Source organism: Homo sapiens, chromosome 1, assembly GCF_000001405.40.
Source record: "Homo sapiens chromosome 1, GRCh38.p14 Primary Assembly".
NCBI lineage: Eukaryota > Metazoa > Chordata > Mammalia > Primates > Hominidae > Homo > Homo sapiens.
In genome coordinates, this window is record NC_000001.11 from 150,104,609 (window position 1) to 150,130,735 (window position 26,127).

Sequence of the window (26,127 nt, forward strand, 5' to 3'; positions counted from 1 at the left end):
GAATGGAGTGCTGGATGGAGTGTAGTGGCAGTCACAGCTCACTGCAGCCTTCCCAGGCTCAAGTGATCCTCCCATCTCAGTGCCCCCTCCCTGCCCCCAGCCTCACCAAGTAGCTGAGACTATAGGGGAAAGCCACCACGCTGGGCTAATTTTTAAAAATTTTTTGGCAGAGTTGGGGTCTCACAATGTTGCCAGGTGGATCTCAAGCTCCTTGGCTCAAGCGATCCACCTGCCTTGGCCTCCCAAAGTGCTGGAATTACAGGCATAAGCCACCAGGCCCAGCCTTTTTTCGTTGTTGTTTTTAAGGAGGAAGAGGGGACATGAGCAAGGATGTACCCTGTGCATTTGCTCCCCTCCCTGTGGCTTAATTGCTAGTTCTATTTTTAGTTCTTTGAGCTAGTTCCATAATGTTTTCCACAGAGGTTGAACTAATTTACATTCCAACCAACAGTATATGAGCATTCCCTTTTCTCCGCATCCATGCCAACATCTGTTGTTTTTTGACTTTTTAATAAACCAAAATAGTAAGAGCCATATATGACAAACCCACAGCTAACATCATACTGAATGGGGAAAAGTTGGAAGCATTTCCCCTAAGAACTGGAATAAGACAAAGATGTCCACTCTCACTGGTCCTATTCAACATACTGAAAGCCCTACCCAGAGCAATCAGGCAATAGAAAGAAATATAAGACATCCAAATTGGAAAAGAAGTCAAATTATCTCTGTTCGCATTCAATAGGATTATATACTTAGAAAACCCTAAAGATCCCTCTAGAAGATTCCTAGACTTGATAAGTGATTTCATTAAAGTCTCAGGATACAAAATCAACATACAAAAATGAGTAACATTTTTAGGCACCAATAACATTCAAGCTGAGAATCAAAGTAAGAGCTCAGTCCCATTTACAAGAGACACACAAAATACTTAGGAATATATTTAACCAAGGAGGTGAAAGATCTCTACAAGGAGAACTACTTAACATTGATGAAAGAAATCATAGATGACACAAACAAATGGAAAAACATCCCATGCTTATGGATTGGAAGAATCAATATTAAAATGATCATATTACCCAATGCAATCTACAGATTCAACACAATTCCTATCAATTTACCAACATCATTCTTCACAGAATTAGGAAAAAGAATCCTAAAGTTGATATGGAACCAGAAGAAAGCCTGAATAGCCAAGGTGCTCCTAAGCAAAAAACAAATCCAGAGTCACATTGCCTGACTTCAAATTATATTATAAGGCTACAGTAACTAAAACAGCATGGTACTGGTACAAAAACAGACACATAGATCAATGGAACAGAATAGAGAACCCAGAAATAAAGCCACATACCTACAACCAACTGATCTTCAATAAAGTCGATAAAAATAAACAATGGGGAAAGAACACCCCACTCGATAAATTATGCTGGGAAAATTGGCCAGCCATATGCAGAAAAATGAAATTGGACCCCTATCTCTTAACCATATACAAAAATTAACTCAAGATGGATTAAAGGCCTAGATGTGGGACCTGAAACTGTGAAAGTCCTAGATGAAAACCTAGGAAAAACTCTTCTGGACATTGGCCTAGGCAAAGAATTTATGACAAAGATCCCAAAAGCAAATGCAACAAAAACAAAAGTAGACAAGTAGGACTTAATTAAACTAAAGGGCTTCTGCACAGCAAAAGAAATAACCAACAGAATAAACAGACAACCTACAAATAATGCCTCCAACAAAGGACTACCATCCACATCCTACAAGGAACGCAATAAGTAAAAACAACCCCATTAAAAACTGGGCAAACGACATGAAAAGACATTTCTCAAAAGAATTACAAGTGGCCAAAAAACGCTTGAAAAAATGCTCAACATTACTGATCATCAGAGAAATGCAAATGAAAACCACACTGAGATATCATCTTACGCTAGTCAGAAAGTCAGATGCCACCACTCTGGTTTTACCTTCCTACCGGCTCTTCTGAAGCCTTTGTTATTTTCTCTCTCTTGCTCTCGCTCTTGCTCTCACTCTGGCTCTGGCTCCCCCCATCACCCCATTATTTTCAGCTTCTTCTCTGCCGACTTCTTTTCCACAGGCTATAATCATACTCAATTTTCTTTTGTTAAATAATAAATTTAAAGCCTTTGGTCCTAGATTTTCCTGTAAGTTATGTCCTTCCCTTCATAGCCAAGCTTTTTGGATAAAGAAGCCCACAGTCACTGTCTTCTGTTTCTCAATTCTTCAATCCATGTAGCCTGGCTCCTTACTCCACTACAACACACTAAAACATTTCTTGCAAAATCACAGTAGTAAATCCAGGGGACTCTCAATTCCCACCTTATTTTCCCCACTGCTGCATTTCACACTATTAACCATTCTTTTCTTCTTGAGACTCAGTTGGGCCTCAACCTCTCCCTTCTGATTCTCCTCCTACCTTTCTGAAAATGTCCTTCTCAGTTGCTAATGCTGGCTACTCTTTTTACTTGTTTTTTAGTTATTAGGGACTCAGCAAAAAATCTGTCTTTTGGTTTTCTTCTCATTCTACATGATCTCCCTAGATAAAACTCATCTATTCCCATGGCTTCAGCTACCACATATTCGGGGAAAGCACTAGACCTGAATATACAGATGTCTAGTGGGCATCTCCATTAGAATATTCCACAGGTATCTAAAACACAGCATGTTTTTGTCTTATGCACAGTAAATGTCCTTTTTCTCAAACCTAAACCACTACACCTAGTTACCAAAACCAGAAAACAAAGTTATGGACTCCCCCTTTACCCCTATCCTCCACATTCAGTCATTGACCAAATACTGAAGAATATGTATTTTTTTGTGACTGGACATCCAGTACCTCCTCTTCACCCTTTCTGGGATGTCTTTAGTTCTAGGTTTCATCATATCTTCCCAGAAGTCTTACACTAGCCTTTTATTCTCCAACTTTTCCCAACAGTTACACCCAATTCATTCTTGCACAGCTGCCAAAACTATCCTTCAAAAAAGCAAATTTGGCTGGGCATGGTGGCTCACACCTGTAATCCTAGCACTTTGGGAGGCGAAGGCTGGCAGATCACCTGAGGTCAGGAGTTCAAGACCCCCTGCCTGGCCAACATGGTGAAACCTCGTCTCTATTAAAAATACAAAAAGTAGTCTGGCATGGTGGCGCACGCCTGTATTCCCAGCTACTTAGGAGGCTGAGGCAGGAGAATCGTTTGAACCCAGGAGGCAGAGGTTGCAGTGAGCTGACATTGCACCACTGCACTCCAGCCTGGGTGACAAGAGCAAGACTCCGTCTCAAAAAAAAAGCAAATTTGATCATAGTAACCTGTGAGAACCCCATGACCTGTGAGATTTGAGGTGTGTGAGCTGGCTTATGCTTTTCCCTCTTTTTCTCACTATGTCCCCAACTTCACTTCTGCTCCAAAGGAAGAGTTAGGATGAGTCCAAAGTTTTTGGCCCAAGCAACTAGAAGGCTAAAGTGACCATCAAGTAAGATAGGGAAGGCTATAGGTAGAACAGACTTAGGGAAGATTGGGGATTTAAAATGTGTTGAATTGAGAAATAATTAAACATCCAAATGGAAATGTCAAGTAAACAGGTATTTAAGTCTGGAGTTTAGAAGAAAGGTCTGGGCTGGAGATGGAGATTTGGGAACCATCAGCAGATGTATTTACAACCAAAAAATGGTGTGATTATCCAGGGAAGGAAATGTGCTGTTTCTCTGGTAACTAGTAATGTAACCACTTGTCAGTGTAGCTGTTGAGCACTTGAAATGTGGCTAGTGCTACTGGGGAATTAAATATTTAATTTTATTTTGGTTAATTTAAATTTAAATAACCATAAGTGACAAGTGGTCACTATACTGAATGGAACAGATGGAGAGAATGAGTTTAGATTAAGAAGAAAGGAGGATCAATGTCTGGGCTCTGAGTATTCCACAATTAAGAGGTCACAGAGATGAAGTGGGACCATAAAAGGATACTGAAAAGTAGCAAGGGAAAAAATCAAATATGAAATTTTCTGGAAACCAATTGAAGAAGGTATATCCAGGAGGAGCAAGTGATCACCTCAGTCATATGTTGCTGATAAGTCAAGTAATATAAAACTGTTCTACCTCACCCATCATCAGGCAATAGTTTCATAAGGAACACACAACCTAGATCCCTCCCATGCGTAGTTCACAGTAGGATTTGCACTCCTATGAGAATCTAACGCCTCCACGGATCTAAGAGGAGGCAGAACTCAGGCCCTAATACTCACTGCTCACCTCCTGCTGTGCCCCCGCCCAGTTCCTAACAGACCACGGACTGGTATTGGTCCTCAGCCTGGGTTTGGGGACCCTTATCGTAATTGACACTTTACCATAACACCCTCTTCATCATTGGTAGCTTGTATAACTGTTTTTAGGGGGAAGGTTTTTTTGGGGTGTTTTTGTTTGTTTGTTTTTGGAGATGGAGTCTCTGTTGCCCAGGCTGGAGTATGGTGGCACGATCTTGGCTCACTGCAACTTTCACCTCCCAGATTCAAGCAATTCTCCTGCCTCAGCCTCCCGAGTAGCTGGGATTACGGGCAGCTAGCACTACGCCCAGCTAATTTTGTATTTTTAGTAGAGCCTGGGTTTCACCATGTTGGCCAGGCTGGTTTCAAACTCCTGACCTCAAGTGATCCGCCTTCCTCGGCCTCCCAAAATGCATATAGGCATGAGCCATCATCCCCACCCTTGTATAAATTTTACTGGGAAATCTCTGCAATTTAGAGACTATCTGAACATTTTAAAATAGCCACAATAGCTGATTCTGTTTCAGTGAAGTCCCACAAGAACAAATACTCTCTCAGTTAATTCTTTCAAGGTATTTTAGAAAGAGAGAGAGAGAGACAAGCAGGAAGGAAATGTAGGGTTGGGGTTTTTTTCATGATTTATACATAAGCATGTATATTCCTTGATTAAAGATGTTTCTGGTTAGTTTTGTGCAATAACATTCAAAACGGATGCTTCTGATTGATGTAGTTTTAGTGTCCAATGAGTGATTTAACAAAATTATTTGCCTAGTAATGGTTTTGAAAATAATTTGATCTCCTTCTTGGTGATATTTAAGGAAGGAGCTAATAGGAACATTCACTTTTGTTATGAAGCCATTTTGATACGGATTGAAACAGGAAACAGAGTAAAACAACACAGTGCTACCCAAGTGAAGCTAGTGACTGAGCTGTGTTCGCATGTCCAGTATCAGCTACACTCATGGTTTTTTTGGTTTCCATGGTTTCTTTTTCTTGGTTTATCAAAGGATTCAGAAAAAAGATTTCAAGAAAAGATAGAGTTCCTAGAAGCACCATTAATTTTTGTGTCCCATTCTTTTTTTTATACTCAAAATACTAAATGTTTCTAGTTTCCATGTTTTGGGGACATCTAAATATGCTAGTTCTTTCAAAAATGCTTTGAGGTCCTTGTACAGAGGCCATTGTAATAGCACTGTATTAAGTATTTGACAAAGGCTTATACATGAAAGGAGATGTGTAGTATTAATACAAACATAAAATTCTGCCGTATTGATATCATGTCATGGTAAGGCACTCTGCACCCTCTTGAATATAAAAGAATATTTCTACATTTGGTTCCAGCAAACACTATTGTGCTATTCTGAAATCCACAGCACAGAAATTATAAGACATCCGCTCATAAACAGAAAGCAAATCACTATTCAGCATTTCCTGCTCTGTTTCCTGCCAATTTCAGATAATTGAAACTTTTTTTAAACCTTTTATTCTATTCTGCTTTAATTCTGCTTCCTCCACCAAAAAAAAAGATTTAGAAATTAAAACTCTGTGTATGTAAGTCACAGTCCTTTTTTTTTCTTATCCTGTGATAATATCTCATTCTTCATTATTGCAGACCTCAGGATATCATTGTGTTTGTAATTGGAGGAGCCACCTATGAAGAGGCTCTAACAGTTTATAACCTGAACCGCACCACTCCTGGAGTGAGGATTGTCCTGGGAGGCACCACAGTGCACAACACGAAAAGGTAAAAGAGAACATTCATTCTACAACTGTGTCCTCTTTCCCAGAGGATAAAGCTTAAATTCCCTTTATGTTGGAAAAATTTGGTCAATACTCACCAAACTGCTGTAGACTGAAATTCTCTGGTGTTTGCAGCTCCAGAATAATTTAAGAATTTGTGAGAGAAAGGATCTATAGTAGTTAAGTTCGTTAAGTTCATAAATCTCTTTATTAGGTCAAAGACCTAGAAAGTAAGAACCATCTTACACTGTTAACAATTTGTATTTCCTGTGTTCAAAAAAGGAGAAACCCTTGGACCTAATTCATAAGGAAGGGGGAAAAATTAAAAATTGGGTTTTTTTTAAAGAGGGAGAAACCTAATAGCCACAGCTTAGACTTTGAAAATACTTAAACATAATGGTATTGAAGTCTGTGAGTTTTTCTATTTTGTTGATTAACTTTATTCACTTAGCAAGTATTCAGTAAGAATACAAAGATGAATAATCTAAAGATCCTACCTCAAGTTATTGTCTATTAGGAAAGAACATTTAAAAATAAGAAAACAAGTGCCCAGAGAGGCAGATAAAAGGGCCAAGGATTCTCAGAGTGACTAAGGGAAATTAGCAAATGTTTCACATAGAAGATAGTATATTAGCTGAGCCTTGGGTGAAAATGGACATATGGAGGGAGAGCACATTCTAGGTAGAGTTAACCACGTGAACAAGTTATAAAAGCTGTAGGCAACATACATACACAAAGAACAGCAAATAGTTGACTAGCTGGAATGTGTGTAATAAAGTGAAAGGATGATTGAATGCCATCATTGTGGAAGGCCTTGAGTGCCAGGCTTGGGAATTTCTACTTTTTTACATAGAAAATGGGGAATTATTGAAAGTAGTGATTACAAGAAACTCACGGTGTTTTAGGAGGATTAATTTGGCAGCTAAAGGTAGAAGAGGAAAAGACTGGAGAACCGTGACATGATTGTTGAATCTAAAGATTGGGGACCCTGAGAGATCCATGCTGAGCCATGTATTCTAGATAATTGGGAGTCATTAAAAGTATTTGTATACTTTTTAATTTTGTATGATTATTTGGTTTTTAATATAACTTTTCTCCTTTATTATGGAAGTAATATATGCATATTCTGAATATTTTTAATTCAGAAAGTACAAGGAGAAAAAACGTTTCCATAATCTAACCACTGTTACGTTTTAGTGTTTTCAGGCCTTTTTTTAAGCCTGTATAGACGTTTGTATGAGTGTGTGGGCAGAAAGGGATCTCATCGTACATTCTGTGTTTTAACTTTCATTTTGCAGTCTGATGTAAACGTCTTCTAGTGTTAAATATATAATCATTCATTCATTAAACAAATATTTACTGGATAAGATTTCTTGGGTTTGAATCCTGATTTCCCTCTTACTATTTTTGTAAACTTGGGCCAATTACTAACCTCTTTGTTAGTGTCCAGAACTCACTGGCTATTTATATATTTCTTTTGTGAATTGCTAGTTCATATTCTTTGCCCATTCCACAATTGAAGTATTCCTTTTTTTCTTAATAATTTTTTTAATTCTATTTATATAAATAAGGTTATTGGCCATTTGTCTAGTATTTATTTTGCAAATCTTTTTCCTCTATATTTTTGTTTTATACTATTCACAGTGTTTTGTTGTATAAAAGTTTTGTTGTTATTACTTTAATTTTATATGGTCACAGTTACCTGTGATTTCTGCCTTTGGTGTCATGCCTAGAAAGTTATTTCCTACACAAGATTATATAAATACTAAGATGCATTTTAAAAATTATTTTTAGGATACATATTTAACATGATATCTTTACAGTCTATCAGAATTTTAGTTTTGTGTAAACTGTGCTGTAGGGTTTCCTTTTATAACTTCTACAGAAATATTACAGTGAGAAATATTACAGTGAGGGGCTTTTTTCTTCTTGACACCAAATACACCATGTCTTTCCCAACACCATTTTTCCAATTCTCCAGACACCAACTGGATATTTAGCAATTTGATTCAATTCTGACACGATCTACCTGGAGTTAGCATCTCATCTCAAAGTTAAAAGGGCTTAACCCCACAAGACCACCCCTACTTCAGATGCCAGTCACAAGTTCCAGACCACCCGTATTTCGGGAGTGACTGGTTGTAAATCAGGGGTTCCCATGACCCCTTCCTCAGGTTTGATAATTTACTAGAACAGTTCACACAACTCAGGAAACCACTTTACTGCATTTGCCAGTTATTACAAAGGATACAACTCAGGAACAGCCAAATGTAAGAGATGCATAGGGCAAGGTATAGGGGTGGGGTGTGGAGTCTCCATGCCTGCTCTAGGAACACCCACCCCACCCCAGCACCTTGATACGTTCACCAACCCACAAACTCTTCGAACACTATTGGGTAGGGGTTTTTATGGAGGTTTCGTTATGTGGGCATGCTTGATTAAATCATTAGCCCCTGGTGATTGATTCAGGCTCCAACTGTTTTCCCCACCCTGGAGGTTCAGGGGTGGGACTGAAAATTCAAAGTTTCTTATTAAGGCTTGGCCTTTCCGGCAACTAGCCCTCATCCTGAAGCTATCTAGAGGCCCACCAAGAGTCATCTCATTGAAACAAAAGACACTCCCGTCACCCTCAGTACTCAGAAAATTCTTAGGGAATTAGGAGCTCTGTGCCAAGAATGGGGACAAAGACCAAATATCTTTCTGTGATACCACATACATACACTTACACACAGTTATTTCATTATGTACGGAAAAGTATATAAATGATAAACAGCTCAGTAAAACATTGCAAAGTGAATATATCTATGAGATGACCTCTGAGTGTAATGATCAAGAAATAGCACATTGCCAGCACCCCCAGCAGCCTTTCTTATTCCTCATGCTCCCTCCTTGTCACAAATCCGTGCAAAGTATTCATTATTATGACTTCTGTCACCGTAGATTAGTTTTACCTGTTCTTAAAAGATATTTTTTGAATAAAAGAAGAAATAAGCCAGGCGTGGTGGCTCCCACCTGTAATCCCAGCACTTTGGGAGGCCAAGGTGGGTAGATCATTTGAGGTCAGGAGTTTGAGACCAGCCTGGCCAACATGGTGAAACCCCGTCTCTACTAAAAATACAAAAATTAGCCAGGCGTGGTGGCAGGCGCCTGTAGTCCCAGCTACTCAGGAGGCTGAGGCAGGAGAATGCTTGAACCTGGGAGGTAGAGGTTGCAGTGAGCCGAAATCATGCCACTGCATTCCAGCCTGGGTGACAGAGAGAGACTCTGTCTCAAAGAAAAAAAGAAGAAGAAGAAGAAGAAATAAAGGCTACACTTAATCTATTTCTGCCTTTCTCACAAATAATATAAGAATATTAAAATGTTTTAACTGTAATCACTTTCCTCCCAATTTGTACACTATCATTGTCCAGTGTTTTGGTTTTACCTTTTTAAATTCCCAAATTAATCATTATTTTCAGTAGTTAATGTTTATCTATATTTACTCACATATTTGCCCCCTTTTCCCCCTCCACTTTGTTTCTTTCCTCCTGGCTCTTTCTTCAATCCAATTTTCTTCTAACTAAAGAACACTCTTGCCTGAATCCCATGCCTGTACTCCCAGCGCTTTGGGAGGCCGAGGTGGGCAGATCACTTGAGGTCAGGAATTCAAGACCAGCCTGGCCAACATGGTGAAATCCCATCTCTCCTGAAAAATGCAACAATTAGCCAGGCGTGGTGGCACATGCCTGTAATCCCAGCTACTCAGGAGGCTGGAGAATTGCTTGAACCGGGGAGGTGGAGGTTGCAGTGAGCCAAGATCGAGTCACTGCACTCCAGCCTGGGCAACAGAGCAAAACACCATCTCAAAAAAAAAAAAAAAAATTATTGGCCAGTAGTTTAGGAGGCCATGGCGGGAGGATCATTTGAGCTCAGAAGTTTAAGACCAAACCTGAGCAATATAGAGTGACTCTGTTTCTAAAAAAAAAAAAAAGGTAAAATTAGCTGGGCATGGACTAGGCATGGTGGCTCACACCTGTAATCCCAGCACTTTGGGAGGCCAAGGCAGGCGGATTGCTTGAGCCCAGGAATTCAAGAGGAGTTCAAGGAGTTCAGGCTGGGCAACATGGTGAAACTTTGTCTCTACAAAAAAACACAAAAATTAGCTGGGCATGGTAGCATGTGTCTGTGGTCCCAGCTACTTGGGAGGCTGAGGTGGGAAGATCACAAGCCTGGGAGATTGAGGCTGCAGTGAGCCGTGATCATGTCACCACCCCCCAGCCTATCTGAACAAGACCCTGTCTTAAAAAAAAAAAAAAACTTTAGTATTTTTTTCAGCTATTGTTCATTTTGATGCCTTTGTCTAAAAGTGTCTTAATTCAGCCAAGTTTAGAATTTCAGGTTGATAATTTTCACTTACTTAAAAGTAAGACAACAATGGAATGCTGTATTACTTGGTATGAAAAAGTCATGTTTGGCATAATTTCTGGAAATTTTACAGTCATTATTTCTTTGACTGTTGCTTCTCTTTCATCTCCTGTTGTCTATCCTTCTGGAATTACTGTGAGATATATGTTAAACCTTCATCTATTCTTCAGGTCTCTTAATCTCTCATTTATGTTATCCATCTGCTATCTGTCTGTGCTGTCTTCTGTATAATTTTTTCAGATCAGTGTTCCAGTTTAGTAATTCTTTCTTCAGCTATATCTAATCTATGTTTAATTTGTCTACTAAGTCCACTAATATTATATTTTTATGCTCACGAGTTCTATTTTGCTTCTTTTTCAAATTTGCCTGATGTTTTTGTTAGTATCCTCTTTTTTTCTCATGTTTTCAAATCCTTTATTTTTCCTAAACCACATTAACTCTATAATCTGAAGTATGTGTAGGTCTAATTCTGCTGTTATATCTGCTAACATTAACTCATGATGAAGCATTTCTGCATGTGTTCTGTGATTTTGACTTATGAGTTATCTTAAGAAGGATTTTATCTATAGCACCCGTGAGGAGCTGACATTCAAGATACATCTCTCTTGCATATTCTTCTTTCATTTTTGCTAGGTACCCCAAGAGCATTGTCAGTCTGGAATCATTTTTATGTTAGTTGCTATACATAAGGGTTCCTGAACCTTGCAAAGCATATCTCCTTGTGCAGATAGATTTTTTTAGTCCACTTTTTCAGTGAGGGTCTCTATATTACATGGAAATCTCAATTTTGATTTATTTTCTTACCGAGGCCTAAGCCTTCTTTCCTGACCCTCTGTGGCTACTAAAACACAGTGCCCTTGTTTAATAACACTGGCACACACCTATTAGATAGTTGTAGCATCAGTTTATACTTATCAAGCTAAGTTTTGGTTCCCTTTTTGTGCTGACCCTTAGCAATTCCTCTCACTTTCCAAAGAAGTTAGATATTCATTTAAAAGAATGTTTGTCATTTTTTATCCTGCATTTGTATGTGTTTTATTACAAGATAATTTTCACCTTATATAATCTCCCTTAATTCTAGAAATGGAAGTGTCAGTGTGGTTATGATCTTGGGAGTGGATAAAATGGTAGTGACATTATAGAAACTCCATTTTGAACATCAGTAGATGATATGATTTGGAAGGATAGCCATGCATCCTAAAATGTCAAACTGAGGGTTTTGTACCTAATTCAAGGGCACCTCTTGAATATTTTTGAGCACAGAAGTGACATAATATTATTAGAGCTATTTTTTCAAGTGTCTCCCTTTGCTGCTAATAAAGCAATAATAGTTCATACTTATTGAGTAGATACTGTATGCTAGGCACTGTACTGAAAGTACTTTAAATCTATTAATTCATTGAATCCTCACATAAAGTTTGTACTATTATTATCTTTATATATGGAAACTGAGGCACAGAGAGATTAACTTATTCAAGTAAACATGACTAGTAAGAGATGGAGCTAGTATTGGAAGCCAGAACCCATGCTTTTAACCACTATGCATTTCCTTCCTCAGTATTACTTGAATGCCTAATGCTGCATTATTCTCTAAATAATATTTAATAATTTAGGGTGCAGAAGGTTTTATTACTTGATGGTAGCCATATGGGATTTTGTCTTCTTGATCCAAATGAGTTATTTCATGAATGTTTAGTTAATCATATGCTTTTAAATAGGCTTCCATATCAGAATTCAAAAAGATGATTTGACCCTTAAGTGATTCCTCTGAGAGTTAATATTTCTCACTATTTGTAGCCTTATGGCCAGGGACTAAGAATTGTAGCATCATCCCTTTAATCTGAAATATCAGCAGGTTAAAATTAAACATATATATCTCCATTTAAAAAAATAGGCCAGGTGCAGTGGATCACACCTGTAATCCTAGCACTTTAGGAGGCCGAGGCAGGCGGATCATGAGGTCAGAAGATCGAGACCATCCTGGCTATCACAGTGAAACCCCATCTCTACTAAAAATACAAAAATTAGCTGGGCGTGGTGGCGTGCACCTGTAGTCCCAGCTACTCAGGAGGCTGAGGCAGGAGAATCACTTGAACCTGGGAAGCAGAGGTTGCAGTGAGCCGAGACTGTGCCACTGCACTCCAGCCTGGGCTACAGAGGGCGACTCCGTCTCAAAAAATAATAAAATAATAATAATAATAATAAGTAGGGGGGCCAGGCATGGTGGGTCATGCCTGTAATCCCAGCACTTTGGGAGGCCAAGGTGGGCGGATCACCTGAGGTCATGAGTTTGAGAGGAGCCTGGCCAACATGGGGAAACCCCATCTCTACTAAAAATACAAAAATTAGCCAGGCATGGTGACAGGCACCTATAGTCCCAGCTACTCAGGAGGCTGAGGCAGGAGAATCGTTTGAACCTGGGAGGCGGAGGTTGCAGTGAGCCGAGATCGCACCACTGCACTCCAGCCTGGGCAGCAAGAGTGAGACTCTGTCTCAAAAATAAATAAATAAATAAATAAGTAAAAATAAAAAATTAAAAATAAGTTGGGGGCCAGGCATCGTGGCTCAGGCCTGTAATCCCAGCACTTTGGGAGACCGAAGTGGGCAGATTGCTTGAACTCAGGAGTTTGAGACCAGCCTGCGCAATGTGGCGAAACTCCATCTCTACCAAAAATACAAAAAAGTAGCCAGGTGTGGTGGCGCCACCTGTGGTCTCAGGTACTTGGGAGGCTGAGGCAGGAGAATCGCTTGAGTCCGGGAGGCGGAGGCTGTAGTAAGCTGAGATCGTACCACTGCACTCCAGCCTGGGTGACAGAGCAAGACCCTGTCTCAAAATAAATAATATAAGTTGGATTTAGATAGAAAGATAGATTAGTAAAGATTTTTTATATGTCTTTGTAATTTAGTCATAGTACATACAAAAATACATGTTTTAGATGTGTTTGACTAATTAATAGTGCTATGGGCTGGGCACGGTGGCTCACGCCTGTAATCTCAGCATTTTGAGCACTGTGGAAGGCCAAGGCAGGCATATCACTTGAGGCCAGGAGTTCGAGACCAGCCTGCCCAACATGGTGAAACCTCGTCTCCACTAAAAAATACAAAAATTAGTTGGGTGTGATGGTGTGTGCCTGTAATCCCAGCTACTCGGGAGGCTGAGGCACGAGAATCACTTGAACCCAGGAGACAGAGTTTGCAGTGAGCTGAGATGGCACCATTGCACTCCAGCCTGGGTGACAGGGCAAGACCCTGTCTCAAAAAAAAAAAAAAAAAGGTACTATGAATAAAACTTCATTTTCTGTTCAAAAAAGTAGAAAAAAGAAAAAAAAATGAAACATCTAGGGTTTTCCTTAAATTAGTGTTCAAGTTCCTGACAAATGACCTTTTGTTTTTTTGGGGACGGAGTCTTGCTCTGTCGCCCAGGCTGGAGTGCAGTGGTTTGATCTCAGCTCACTGCAACCTCTGCCTCCCGGATTCAAGCAATTCTCCTGCCTCAGCCTCCAGAGTAGCTGGCACTACAGGCGTGCACCACCACACCTGGCTAATTTTTGTATTTTTGGTAGAGACGGGGTTTCACCATGTTGGCCAGGCTGGTCTCGAACTCTGGACCTCAAGTGATCCACCTGCCTTGGCCTCCCAAAGTGCTGGGATTACAAGAGTGAGCCACCGCACCCGGCCTCAACAAATCATCCTTATATAAAATTAAGAAGGTAAGGCAGTCCTGCGAAGGCCTTATGCTAGATTCTTCCAGCTATTGTCAGCGTTGGTATCTCTGTGTGACCTAATAGCATGCTAAGCAGTACACTGTATTACATTTGAGCAGATATCTTAGCAATAAAGATTCAATAAAATTTTGGACAGAATTGTTCACTGGCTTCCTGACCAAAGAAACTTTTGCAAAGAGGGAGTTGCTATGGCAATCACCAAACAGGAAAAAATATTAGTTGATTTTTGCAACACATAAATGATTCAATATCAAGTGTTTATAGTTTACTTTTGTAAATAGATAGCCCTAGCCAATAAGTAAATAGTGAAATTTATCATACCAGTAAGAAGATTATGGAATTTATATTTCAGAGGCCAGTTATTGTGAAGGCTTAAGTAACTGAAAGCAATAGTTTCACCTTTGAATGGAAAGGCTCAATTTTCATGATGAATGTAGGATACCTTGGGTATTACTAACATATTTAGTAAGTTTACAACTCTTAATACATATTGGAATCTTAGACTCTCAGTAATGGAAAGGCTAATATTTTTTAAAAATCAGTTTTATACCTGGATATAGTAGGGCTGCAGTGAACTAGCAATAATATGATATGGAGGAGAAAACATTGAATAATTTGTTTCTGTGAATTATTAGGGTTTAATTTTGTAGGAGTTTTAGTGTATAATTTTCTCTGTAATATATGGGTTATTTCTTAAGGAAACAGGCCAAAAGAATTAGTGACAAAAATGCAGCCTTGACCTCAAGAGCTCTGCAGCACAGAAGTAGCTTTTTGAGAGACTAGGGAGATTAGAAAATGGTATACGTTTAGATTTGCCGCGATATTGCTCTCCTTTTACACTTAGAATCATGTAAGTCATGGTATGGTTGGCCATGTCTTACATGTCTTACATCCAAATCCATGGATTTGGATTAGTGGGTACCCCAATAAACAGGAAAGAAATGATATCTTGTCACTGTGTGATGTATTAATACAGAAGCTACTATCCTTCCAGAATAGGAAATGTCTATTGTGGAATATTTCTGGAATACAGGTCACTTGGTTTCCCTATTACAACTCTTAAATAAAATCTGAGGCCGGGCGCGGTGGCTCATGCCTGTAATCCCAGCACTTTGGGAGGCCGAGGCAGGCGGATCACCTGAGGTCGGGAGTTCGAGACCAGCCTGACCAACATGGAGAAACCCCGTCTCTACTAAAAATACAGAATTAGCCAGGCGTGGTGGCACATGCCTATAATCCCAGCTACTAGGGAGGCTGAGGCAGGAGAATCGCTTGAACCTAGGAGGCAGAGGTTGCGATGAGCTGAGATCGCGCCATCGCACTCCAGCCTGGGCAACAAGAGTGAAACTCCATCTAAAAAAAAATAATAAATCTGAGATTACTAAACAGATTTATTCTGCATGCAAATTTCAGAACTACCACTTACTAGTTTTTTTATTACTTAATCACTTAATGTAATGGGTAGATAGGTCAAAATTGATCTCCTGCATCCCAGAAAATAACAAGTACCCTTACCCGTCAGGTAGCAATTTTAGCAACCTTAATCATGGTTTCTCTATTTTTATTTCTGACATATATCAAGATCACTTTTACTGTAAATTGAAACAAAATCTTAGTTGTAAACAAAACTTAAAAATAAAGAAGAGAAAGCAATTATTCCTTTCCTCCCTAGTATATTTCCAAAAATGAACATAATTTTTAGTGTAAGAACAGAGCCTTTGTATAAGTAAGCTCGTCATCTTAAGCAAGGAGTCACCTGAAGATATAGGTCCCTTAGATCCTAATAGGAAATATACATTAGTTTAATCTGAAATTGAAGTTGCCATTCAAAGTTATCTTAAAGTGGCTCTTTCTTGCATACTTTATTTCTTTAAAACAGTTCTTTTGCGATAATATTTTTTAGTGATTCAGGCGCTGGTTGTAATGAAGCAGAGTTCTATATATGCAGGCCTTCCGTAGTTGTATGATTTGTTTCTATAGGGCCTGCTCTGATTAGCTGTAATTGTGATTATCTTTGTTTAGATTTAAACACCATTTAAAATAGAAGGCATGTATTTGCTGCTAAGACACCAAGGAACTTTGCAGAAGCAACTTATCTCCTTAGCAACATTCTTTTTTTTTTTTTTTTTTTTTGAGTCAGAGTCTTGCTCTGTGGCCCAGGCTGGAGTGCAGTGGCGCGATCTCGGCTCACTGCAAGCTTCGCCTCCTGGGTTCACGCCATTCTCCTGCCTCAGCCTCCTGAGTAGCTGGGACTACAGGTGCCCGCCACCGCGCCCGGCTAATTTTTTGTATTTTTAGTAGAGATGGGGTTTCACTGTGGTCTCGATCTCCTGACCTTGTGATCCACCCTTCTCAGCCTCCCAAAGTGCTGGGATTACAGGCATGAGCCACCATGCCCTGCCCTCCTTAGCAACATTCTTAATAAAATTGCCTTCTAAATAAAGAGAGGCAGTCAATATTTCTTCTCTTTCCATAGCCATATGAAGTTTAACATGAATTTTGTATTACTTCCCTTTTTCATTTCATATATAATGAAATACACAGAAATAAAATGTAGTAACCAATTACAGAGACTTCTTTAAAGATATAACTGTTGTGCTTTTTTGAAGGCAAAGAACCTGCCCTGAAAAAGAATCTGACCTGAACACATGCTGTCCTAAGCAGTTAGTCTAGTGTGTCTCTGGGGTCTATGCAGGTTTGCAGTGTACAGACTGTTATCTCCTGTCTCAGTATTTGCCCTTCTTATGGAATTACTTTTCTTCCTCTTACTACCTTATTTCCTCCTCTTCATTTGTCTCATTAGTTGTATTAGCCAGATATATATTTACTTGTAGGGGAGGGGGAATGTCAAATTTCAGTTTCTAGGAATTATATATGGCATGAGTCATTGCTATAGCATCACAGAAATTTTCATCAACGTCTATCTAGAACAGTCAGGAGTTCTAGTTATGAGTTCTGTAATAGATATTTATTGAACATGTGAGAACAATGTAAAGCCAATAGTTGGTTCACTCAAATATTTACTGAGCACTGGGATACCTCCATGAATAAAACAAAGATCCTAACCCTTGTGAAGCTTCATTTTAATGCAGGGGGAGACAGAAATAAACCATAAACTTAACAAATAGGTATATTTTATAGTAAATCAGTATGTAATAGATGCAGTGGGGGGGCAGGGAATATGAAACTGTGTAAAGGGAAATTGATAGTGCTTGGGGACAGTGGCTGTAGGTTACACTACTCAGTATGGTATCAGGAAAGGCCTCCTTAAGAAGAGATGTGTGTAGGCCAGGTGCCATGGCTCACACCTATAATCCCAGCACTTTGGGGGGCCAAGGCGGCCGGATCACCTGAGGTCAAGAGTTCAAGACTAGTCTGGCCAACATGGCGAAACCCCATCTCTCCTAAAAATACAAAAATTAGCCGGGCCTGGTGGTGCACTCCTGTAATCCCAGCTACATGGGAGGCTGAGGCAGGAGAATCACTTGAACCCAGGATGTGGAGGTTGCAGTGAGCTGAGATTGAGCCACTACACTCCAGCGTGGGCGACAGAAAGAAGAGTGTGCAAAGACTTAAAGGAGGTGGGGGGAGTAAGCCAAACAGATAGAGGGAAAAAGCATTCCAGGCACAGCCACAGCCATGTCCTAAGAATCATGCAATGCGTTGGAGGAGCTGCAAGGAGGCTGGTGAGTCTGGGTGGAGTGAGCAAGAGGAGTAGAAAGAAATGCAGTGCGAGAGGCATCAATACCTGGGGCTGTTCCTGGAGCACCTTATATACTGTGAGGACTGCTTTTCACTAGGAGTTAGAGAGCACTTTTGGGTTGGGGTTTTTTTTAATGTTTTTATTGAGCTAAAATTTACATACCATACAAGTCACCCATTTGAAGTGTAAAATTCAGTGGTTTTTAGTATATTCACAGATATATTCAACTATTACCACAGTCAATTTTAGAACATTTTCATTGGCTGGGCGTGGTGGCTCACACCTGTAATCCCAGCACTTTGGGAGGCTGAGGCGGGTGGATCACCTGAGGTCAGGAGTTTGAGACCAGCCTGGCCAACATGGTGAAGCCCCATTTGTACTACAAATACAAAAATTAGCCAGGCATGGTGGCACGCACCTGTAATCCCAGCTACTCAGGGGGCTGAGGCAGGAGAATTGCTTGAACCCAGGAGGCGGAGGTTGCATCACGCCATTACACTCCAGCCTGGGCAACAAGAGCGAAACTCCTTCTCAAAAAAAAAAAAAAAAGCATTTTCATTGTATCCAAAAATCCCCCTCTCCAGCCCTAATAAACCACTAATCTAACTTCTGTCTCTACAAATGTCCCCATTCTGAGCATTGCATGTGAATGGAATCATATAATATGTATTCTTTTGTGACTGGCTTCTTTCACTTAGCATAATGTTTTCAAGACTCCTCCATGTGTAACATACATCAGTACTTTATTCCTTTTTATGACTGAGTAATATTTCACTGTATGCATGTGCCATGTTTTATTTATCCATTCATCAATTGATGGACATTTAGGATGTTTCCATCCTTTGGCTATTATAAGTAATGCTGCTATAAACATTTATGTACAAGTTTTTGTGTGCGTTAATAGGGTTTTAAGCAGAGCCATGACACCTGACTTACGTTTTAGGAGGATCTATCAAAGCAATGTGAATTAAGAAATTATCCACCAAAATGAACATTTGCTTATTATAAAAATGCAAATTTCTAGATGTAGTTAAATAAACTATACCCATTATTTTATTCACCTGCAATAAACTGAGCCATTATTGTAGTTGGTTTTCTGAAGCACATGATCCTACCTTGCAAATAAACGAGCATCTTGGTTTGGATTTTGAGCTGGCCTGCCTTAGCACTTCACAGGTCGATCAATATTAAAGAGTTCTAGTCCCTGCCAGCAGTAATTGACACCTTTAAGTTAGCTGTGTGAGCTGAGAGGTCAAGAACCCAATCCATATAGATGGAATTGTTATCGTAATAGGCAAAAATACCTGTCTTCATGGGATTCAGGATAGAAGTAGAGGGAAAAAGGGTGGCTAGGTGAATTCATTAGCCAATAGCGCTGCCATTGCTTGAACACTATGTGAACTTTATTTAGTCTCCAGTTCTTCTTAAAACTTTTGACAAATAGAAAGACATATCCTGCTAGAAGATGGCATGAGAGCAACAATTCTCTCGCTGCCAGATTCCCTTTCAAGCCAATAATAATTACTGTACATAGTATATTCTTTGTCATAGTACTAGATCCAACTAAGCCCTCATTAGCTATAAACCTAAAGAATAATTAATGATCCCATTTTCAATTATTTTCCCCATAAGTAGCAAAGACAGATAGTGCTGGCAAACAGGTAAAGGAAAGTAGGCATTCCCCTTGACCAAGTAATTCATGCTCATTGTTAAAAGGAAATGAGGCTGAACACGGTGGCTTACTCCTGTAATCCCAGCACTTTGGGAGGCCGAGGCGGGTGGATCACGAGGTCTGGAGTTCAAGACCAGCCTGGCCAACGTAGTGAAACCCCATCGCTACTAAAAATACAAAAATCAGTCAGACGTGGTGGCGTGCACATGTAGTCCCAGCTACTCAGGAGGCTAAGGCAGAAGAATTGCTTGAATCTGGGAGGCAGAGGTTACAGTAAGCCGAGATCGCGCCACTGCACTCCAGCCTGGGTGAGAGACCAAGACTCCGTCTTGGAAAAAAAAAATGAATTATAAAAGTAAAAATCATTCATAATACCACAGCTCAGAGCTAATCACTGTTAATATGTTGGCTTTTTTTCTTTTTTCTTTTTTTTTTTTTGAGACAGAGTCTCGCCCTGTCACCCAGGCTGGAGTGCAGTGGCACAATCCCGCCTCACTCCAACCCCCCTACCTCCCGGATTTAAGTAATTCTCATGCCTCAGCCTCCCAAGTAGCTGGGACTACAAGCCTGCAGCATCACACCTGGCTAATTTTTTTTTTTTTTGTATTTTTAGTAGAGATGGGGTTTCACCATGTTGGCCAGGCTGGTTTTGAACTCCTGACCTCAAGTAATCCGCCTGCCTTGTCCTCCCAAAGTGCTGGGATTATAGGCATAAGCCACTGTGCCCAGCCCCTTCTAATATTTTTTTAACCTAAATGTTTTAGAATTTTGTTTATGTTTTGTTTTTAACATAAGATCTATAGAGTTTTTTTCTTTAATCATTTGAGAACATTTTCCCATGTTACTAAAAAGTCTTTAAAACAATCTTAATGGCTATATAATTTTATTTTTAAGGATGGGTCTTTATTTAACTATTACCATTGGACATTTAGGTTGTTTACATTTTTTTCACCAGCATATTCAGCTGCAAGTTTACTTTTATTTTTTATTTATTTATTTTTTTGCTTTTTTAAATTTTTAATTGACATGTAATAATTTTACACATTTATTAGGTACAGAGTAATATTTTGATACATGTATACAATGTATACTGATCAAATCAGGATATTTAGCATAACAGCACATCAAACATTTATCATTTCTTTGTATTGGGAACATTCAAAATCTTCTTTTTTCTGTATTGGATATGTATTTTTTATTTTTTTTACTTTTTTTATTTATTTTTTAATATATATATATTTTTATTATACTTTAAGTTCTAGGGTACATGTGCACAATGTGCAGGTTTGTTACATATGTATACATGTGCCATGTTGGTGTGCTGCACCCATTAACTCATCATTTAAAAAATGACGAGTTCATGTCCTTTGTAGGGACATGGATGAAACTGGAAACCATCATTCTGAGCAAACTATCGCAAGGACAAAAAACCAAACACCACATGTTCTCACTCATAGGTGGGAATTGAACAATGAGAACACTTGGACACAGGAAGGGGAACATCACACACTGGGGGGAGGGGGGAGGGATAGCATTAGGAGATATATTTTTTATTTTTTTTATATTTTTTAATCATTTTTGAGATGGAGTCTCCTCTGTTGCCCAGGCTAGAGTGCAGTGATGTGATCTCAGCTCACTGTAACCTCCACCACCCAGGTTCAAGGAATTCTCTGCCTCAGCCTCCCGAGTAGCTGGGATTATAGGCGCCTGCCACCACTCCCAGCTAATTTTTGTATTTTTAGTAGAGACGGGCTTTCACCATCTTGGCCAGACTGGTCTTGAACTCCTGACCTTGTGATCCACCCGTCTCAGACTCCCAAAGTGGTGGGATTATAGATATGAGCCACTGCCCCTGGCCAAGCTTACATTTTTAATATAAATAATGCTTCAATAAACATCTTACGTACTGATAAAACTTGGTCCCCATCTCGGTGGGGACAAAGGTTTAAGATAAACGTATAGTGAGGCAGTCTGAAATATTGCCAGTAGAAGGATAAATTAGTATAACTTTCCTAGAAAGCAATTTAGCATTATATATTCTAAGGTATGGGATTAATTTCATGGCTTTTGTTGTTGGGTTTTTGTTTTGTTTTGTTTTTTTGAGACAGAGCCTCACTCTGTCGCCCATGCTGGAGTGCAGTGGTGCCATCTCGGCTCACTGCAAGCTCCGCCTCCCAGGTTCACGCCATTGTCCTGCCTCAGCCTCCCAAGTAGCTGGGACTACAGGCATCTGCCACCATGCCTGGCTAATTTTTTTTTGTATTTTTAGTAGAAATGGGGTTTCACCATGTTAGCCAGGATGGTCTCAATCTCCTGACCTCGTGATCCGCCCTCCTCGGCCTCCCAAAGTGCTGGGATTACAGGCGTGAGCCACCACACCGGCCTGTTTTTTGATTTTTAAGAAGCTCTTGCTCAAGTGATGGAAATGTTCTATATCTTGATTGAGGAGTTGGTTATACAACTGGATATATTTGGCAAACTCATCAAAGAATATCCTTGATATCAGTGAATTTTATTGTCTATGAGTTATAGCTCAATAAAAAAAATTTATATGTAGCTGAGCAGAGGTGGCCCATGCCTGTAATCCCAGCACTTTGGGAGGCTCAATTGGGAGGATCATTTGAGGCCAGGGGTTCAAGAACAGCCTGGGCAACATAGTGAGACTCCATCTCCACAAAAAACGTTAAAATTAGCCAGGCATCATGGTACGCACCTGTAATCATAGCTACAGGTAAGACAAAGCACTGTAGTACCAAACTGACATTTTCTCCTTCAAATGTTCAGAAAGATAAAAAAGATAATTTAAAATGGAATAGTTTCTCACTGCATAATTCAATGTTATTTAATGCCATGCCCCAGAACCACCTGATGTCAACTGATGTTATGACTCACACACTTTGAGGAAAACTGGGCTATTACAATTCCTAAAGCAACGGGTATGATGATAATTTGGTAAAACACTTAACCAAATTTTAAAGACAGTACAACAAAATGTAAAATATCTCAGTACTTTTTTAAGTTGATTACATGCTGAAAGATAATATTTTGGATATATGGGTTAAATAAAATACACTACTAAAATTAATTTTACCTGTTTCATTTTACTTTTTTAATGTGGCCACGAGAACATTTGTGACTTGCACTGCTTTATCCATTTAATTTTGTTAATTCTCATAATGACTCAGTGAAGCAGATTTTTTTTTTTTTGAAACAGGGTCTCGCTCTGTTGCCCAGGCTGGAGTGCAGTGGCACACACACAGCTCACTGTGACATTGATCTGGGTTCAAGCAGTCCTACCACTTCAGCCTCACAAGTAGCTTGTGCTAACTTTTTATTTTTTTCTAGAGACAGGGTCTTGCTATGTTGTCCAGACTGGTCTCAAACTCCTGGGCTCAAACAAACCTCCCAACTTGGCCTCCCAAATTGCTGGGATTACTGGCATGAGCCACCACACCCAGCCAAGGTAGATATTTTTATAATTGTTATCAACTTCCTTTTTCAGATGAGGAAATCAAAGTAGAGAGAAGTTAAGTACCTTGTCCAAAGTCATAAAGCTAGTAAGTGGTAAACCTGGAATTGGGCACAGTCTGTTTCCAGTATGAGTACCTAAGCACTCAGTTGAAATAATATTTTGGAATATTTATCTAGCTATGATATTTTTAAATCCTTTGTTTATAAATGTCACCTATAAGATAGGCAAAATATGTTTTTATCAAATGGATAATATGTGAAGCTTTCAGACTACTAAGAAATATTGTAAACCAAAGCTGGGGAAAAAATAATACAGAACTGAGGGATCATTTACTTTTATTTTAAGAATTTTATCATTCAATGATGATTAAAAATGAGATTTAAGAGACAGTGTTGCTCTTTGAGTAAAAATGACTAACTTGGCCAGGCATGGTGACTCACACCTGTAATCCCACACTTTGGGAGGCCGGGGCGGGCAGATTGCTTGAGTTCAGGAGTTCAAGACCAGCCTGGGCAACATGGTGAGACCCTGTCTCTACCAAAAATACAAAAAAATAGCTGGGCGTGATGGTGCGTGCCTGTGGTCCCAGCTACTCGGGAGGCTAAGATGGGAGGATAGCTTGAGCCCAGGGGGCAGAGGTTGCAGTGAGTCAAGTTCGCGCCACTGCACTCCAGCCTGGGTAACAGAATGGGACCCTTGTCTTAAAAAAAAAAAGAAAATTAACTTGATTAATTAGTGGAAGCTTTTAGTTTCATAACTATCTGAAATGATGCCTAAGTGTTATAATAATTTAACTTTGACATGGAGTAAGTGAAATTAATACTTTTTGTAGTGAATACAGCTAAGGGCCTAAAAAATAGTTGGCATCTTGAATTTCTATACATAAGTTTGAGGCTGGTAGGGGGCTGATTCAATTTGTGTTATCAACAGGTACTTTATAGATTTCCACCTAAACAAGTAACACTAGAAACTTGGACCTTCTCCTGTAACCACCAGTAGGTTCAATCTCTGAATTATTTACAGAAAAATTAGGATACTATGACAGAATTTGCATTTCAAAGAGGCAGGAACCCAGAGGGGACTTCTCTTCACTACGGACGTTTCAGGATAAGTTTTGAAACTTTCCCAAAGAGATTTTCTTTCTTTTTTTTTTTCAGTGAGACAGAGTCTCGCTCTGTCGCCCAGGCTGGAGTGCAGTGGCACGATCTCGGCTCACTGCAACCTCCGCCTCCCGGGTTCAAGCGATTCTCCTGCCACAAAGTCCCAAGTAGCTAGGACTACAAGTGCGTGCCACCACGCCTGGCTAATTATTTTTGTATTTTTAGTAGAGATGGGGTTTCACCGTGTTAGCCAGGATGGTCTTGATCTCCTGATCTCGTGATCTGAGTGCTGGGATTACAGGCGTGAGCCACTGCATCCGGCAAAGAGATTTTCTTTGACAGCTTATTTTCCTCCAGTGACCAAAGGATTAGACATCATTGCAAGAGTTGTGATGGAGTGTGTCGCCTGTCACTGACAAGCATTTATTGAGTGCTGATTATGTGTAATGTTCTGTGCACGGTGCTAGAAAGATGAAGACATGTTCTGTATCTTTAAGGATCTCAATGTCTAATAGGAAAATAAACATATAAATGAACAACTCTAATAAGATGCCTTTTTAAAAGTTGAATTTAACCCAGGATTCAAATTTAGGCATGTCCCTTGATTCCAATTTGTTTGTGCACTGTAACGTATATTTTTTAATTAAAAAAATAGCTTTTCATTTTACCTCTGAATTGTGTGTAAAAAAGAAATTTAAAAAAGAAAAATATCTTTTCATTACAAAATCAATATATAATTCCTGTAGGAAAAAAAATTTAATACAGCTAAGCAAAAAAATAGCCATACTGCCACCATAGGGAATGTTGTCAGCCTTTTAGATCTTTTGCTATGAATGTATACACATTTTTTTTAATTTTATTTATTTATTTATTTATTTGAGACGGAGTCTTGCTCTGTCACCCAGGCTGGAGTGCAGTGACACCACCTCGGCTCACTGCAACGCCCGCCTCCCAGGTTCAAGCGATTCTCCTGCCTCAGCCTCCCGAGTAGCTGGGACTACACGCTACCACACCCAAATAATTTTTGTAGTTTTAGTAGAGACAGATTTCACCATGTTGGCCAGGCTGGTCTCAAAGTCCTGACCTCAAGTGATCCACCTGCCTCAGCCTCCCAAAGTCCTGGGATTACAGGCATGAGCCACCACGCCTGGCCAATTTTTTTTTTTTTTTAAGATGGGGTCTTGCTCTGTCACCCAGGCTGGAATGCAGTGGTGTGATCATAGTTCACTGTAACCTCAAACTCTTGGGCTCAAGCAGTCCTCCCACCTCAGCCTCCCAAGTATCTAGGACTATGGGCCACCAAGCCTGGCTATCTATCTGTCTAATCTATCTATCTATCTATTTATTTGAGATGGAGTCTCAAATATATTGCCCAGTCTGGTATTGAACTCCTGGCCTCAAGAGATCCTGCAGCCTCGGTCTCCCAAAGTGCTGGGATTATAGGCATGAGCCACTGTGCCCAGCACACATATATATCTATATATAATACACACACACACTTTTTTTTTTTTTTTTTTTTGAGAGACAAGGCCTTGCTCTGTTGCCAGGCTGGAGTGCAGTGATGTGATCTTGGTTCACTACAACCTCCTCCTCCCGGGCTTAAGCCATCCTCCCGAGTAGCTGGGACTACACGTGTGTACCACCATGCCCAACTAATTTTTATATTTTTTGTAGAGAGAGGGTTTCACCATGTTACAGCCTAGGCTGGTCTCAGACTCCTGGGCTCAAGTGATCTGCCTGCCTCAGCCTCCCAAAGTGCTGAGATTATAGGCATAAACCACCACACCAGGCCTAGCCCACATATATTTTTAAATAAAAGGAAACATACTCTACATGTGCTTTCAATGAAAATGCTTATCTATATCATTTTTAATAACTGAATTATATTCTATTAAGTGTAGCACAATTTCATCAATCCTCAATTTTTTGTTCATTCAACAAATACTTAGTGAGCACCTACTATATTACAGGGGTTACCTTGAGACTGGAATATAGTGGTGAGCAAAACAAATATTGTTTGATATTGTTTGCAGTTT

At 39.6% G+C, this 26,127-nt stretch overlaps 1 protein-coding gene across 6 annotated transcripts in view; it reads left to right on the forward strand.

Annotated features, from left to right (window-relative positions):
- Nucleotides 1-26,127, forward strand: part of VPS45 (vacuolar protein sorting 45 homolog) — a 77,948-nt gene that overhangs the window by 37,227 nt on the left and 14,594 nt on the right. For all 6 annotated transcript variants that reach the window (NR_103998.2, XR_007069452.1, XM_024452791.2 and 3 more), the window contains one exon: nt 5,888-6,019. Coding sequence is in view for 4 of the 6 variants with exons in the window: in XM_024452791.2 (XP_024308559.1) it covers nt 5,888-6,019 (132 nt within the window). In the remaining 2 variants the exon portion in view is untranslated. Of the gene's footprint in view, nt 1-5,887; nt 6,020-26,127 lie in introns of those variants that run through there.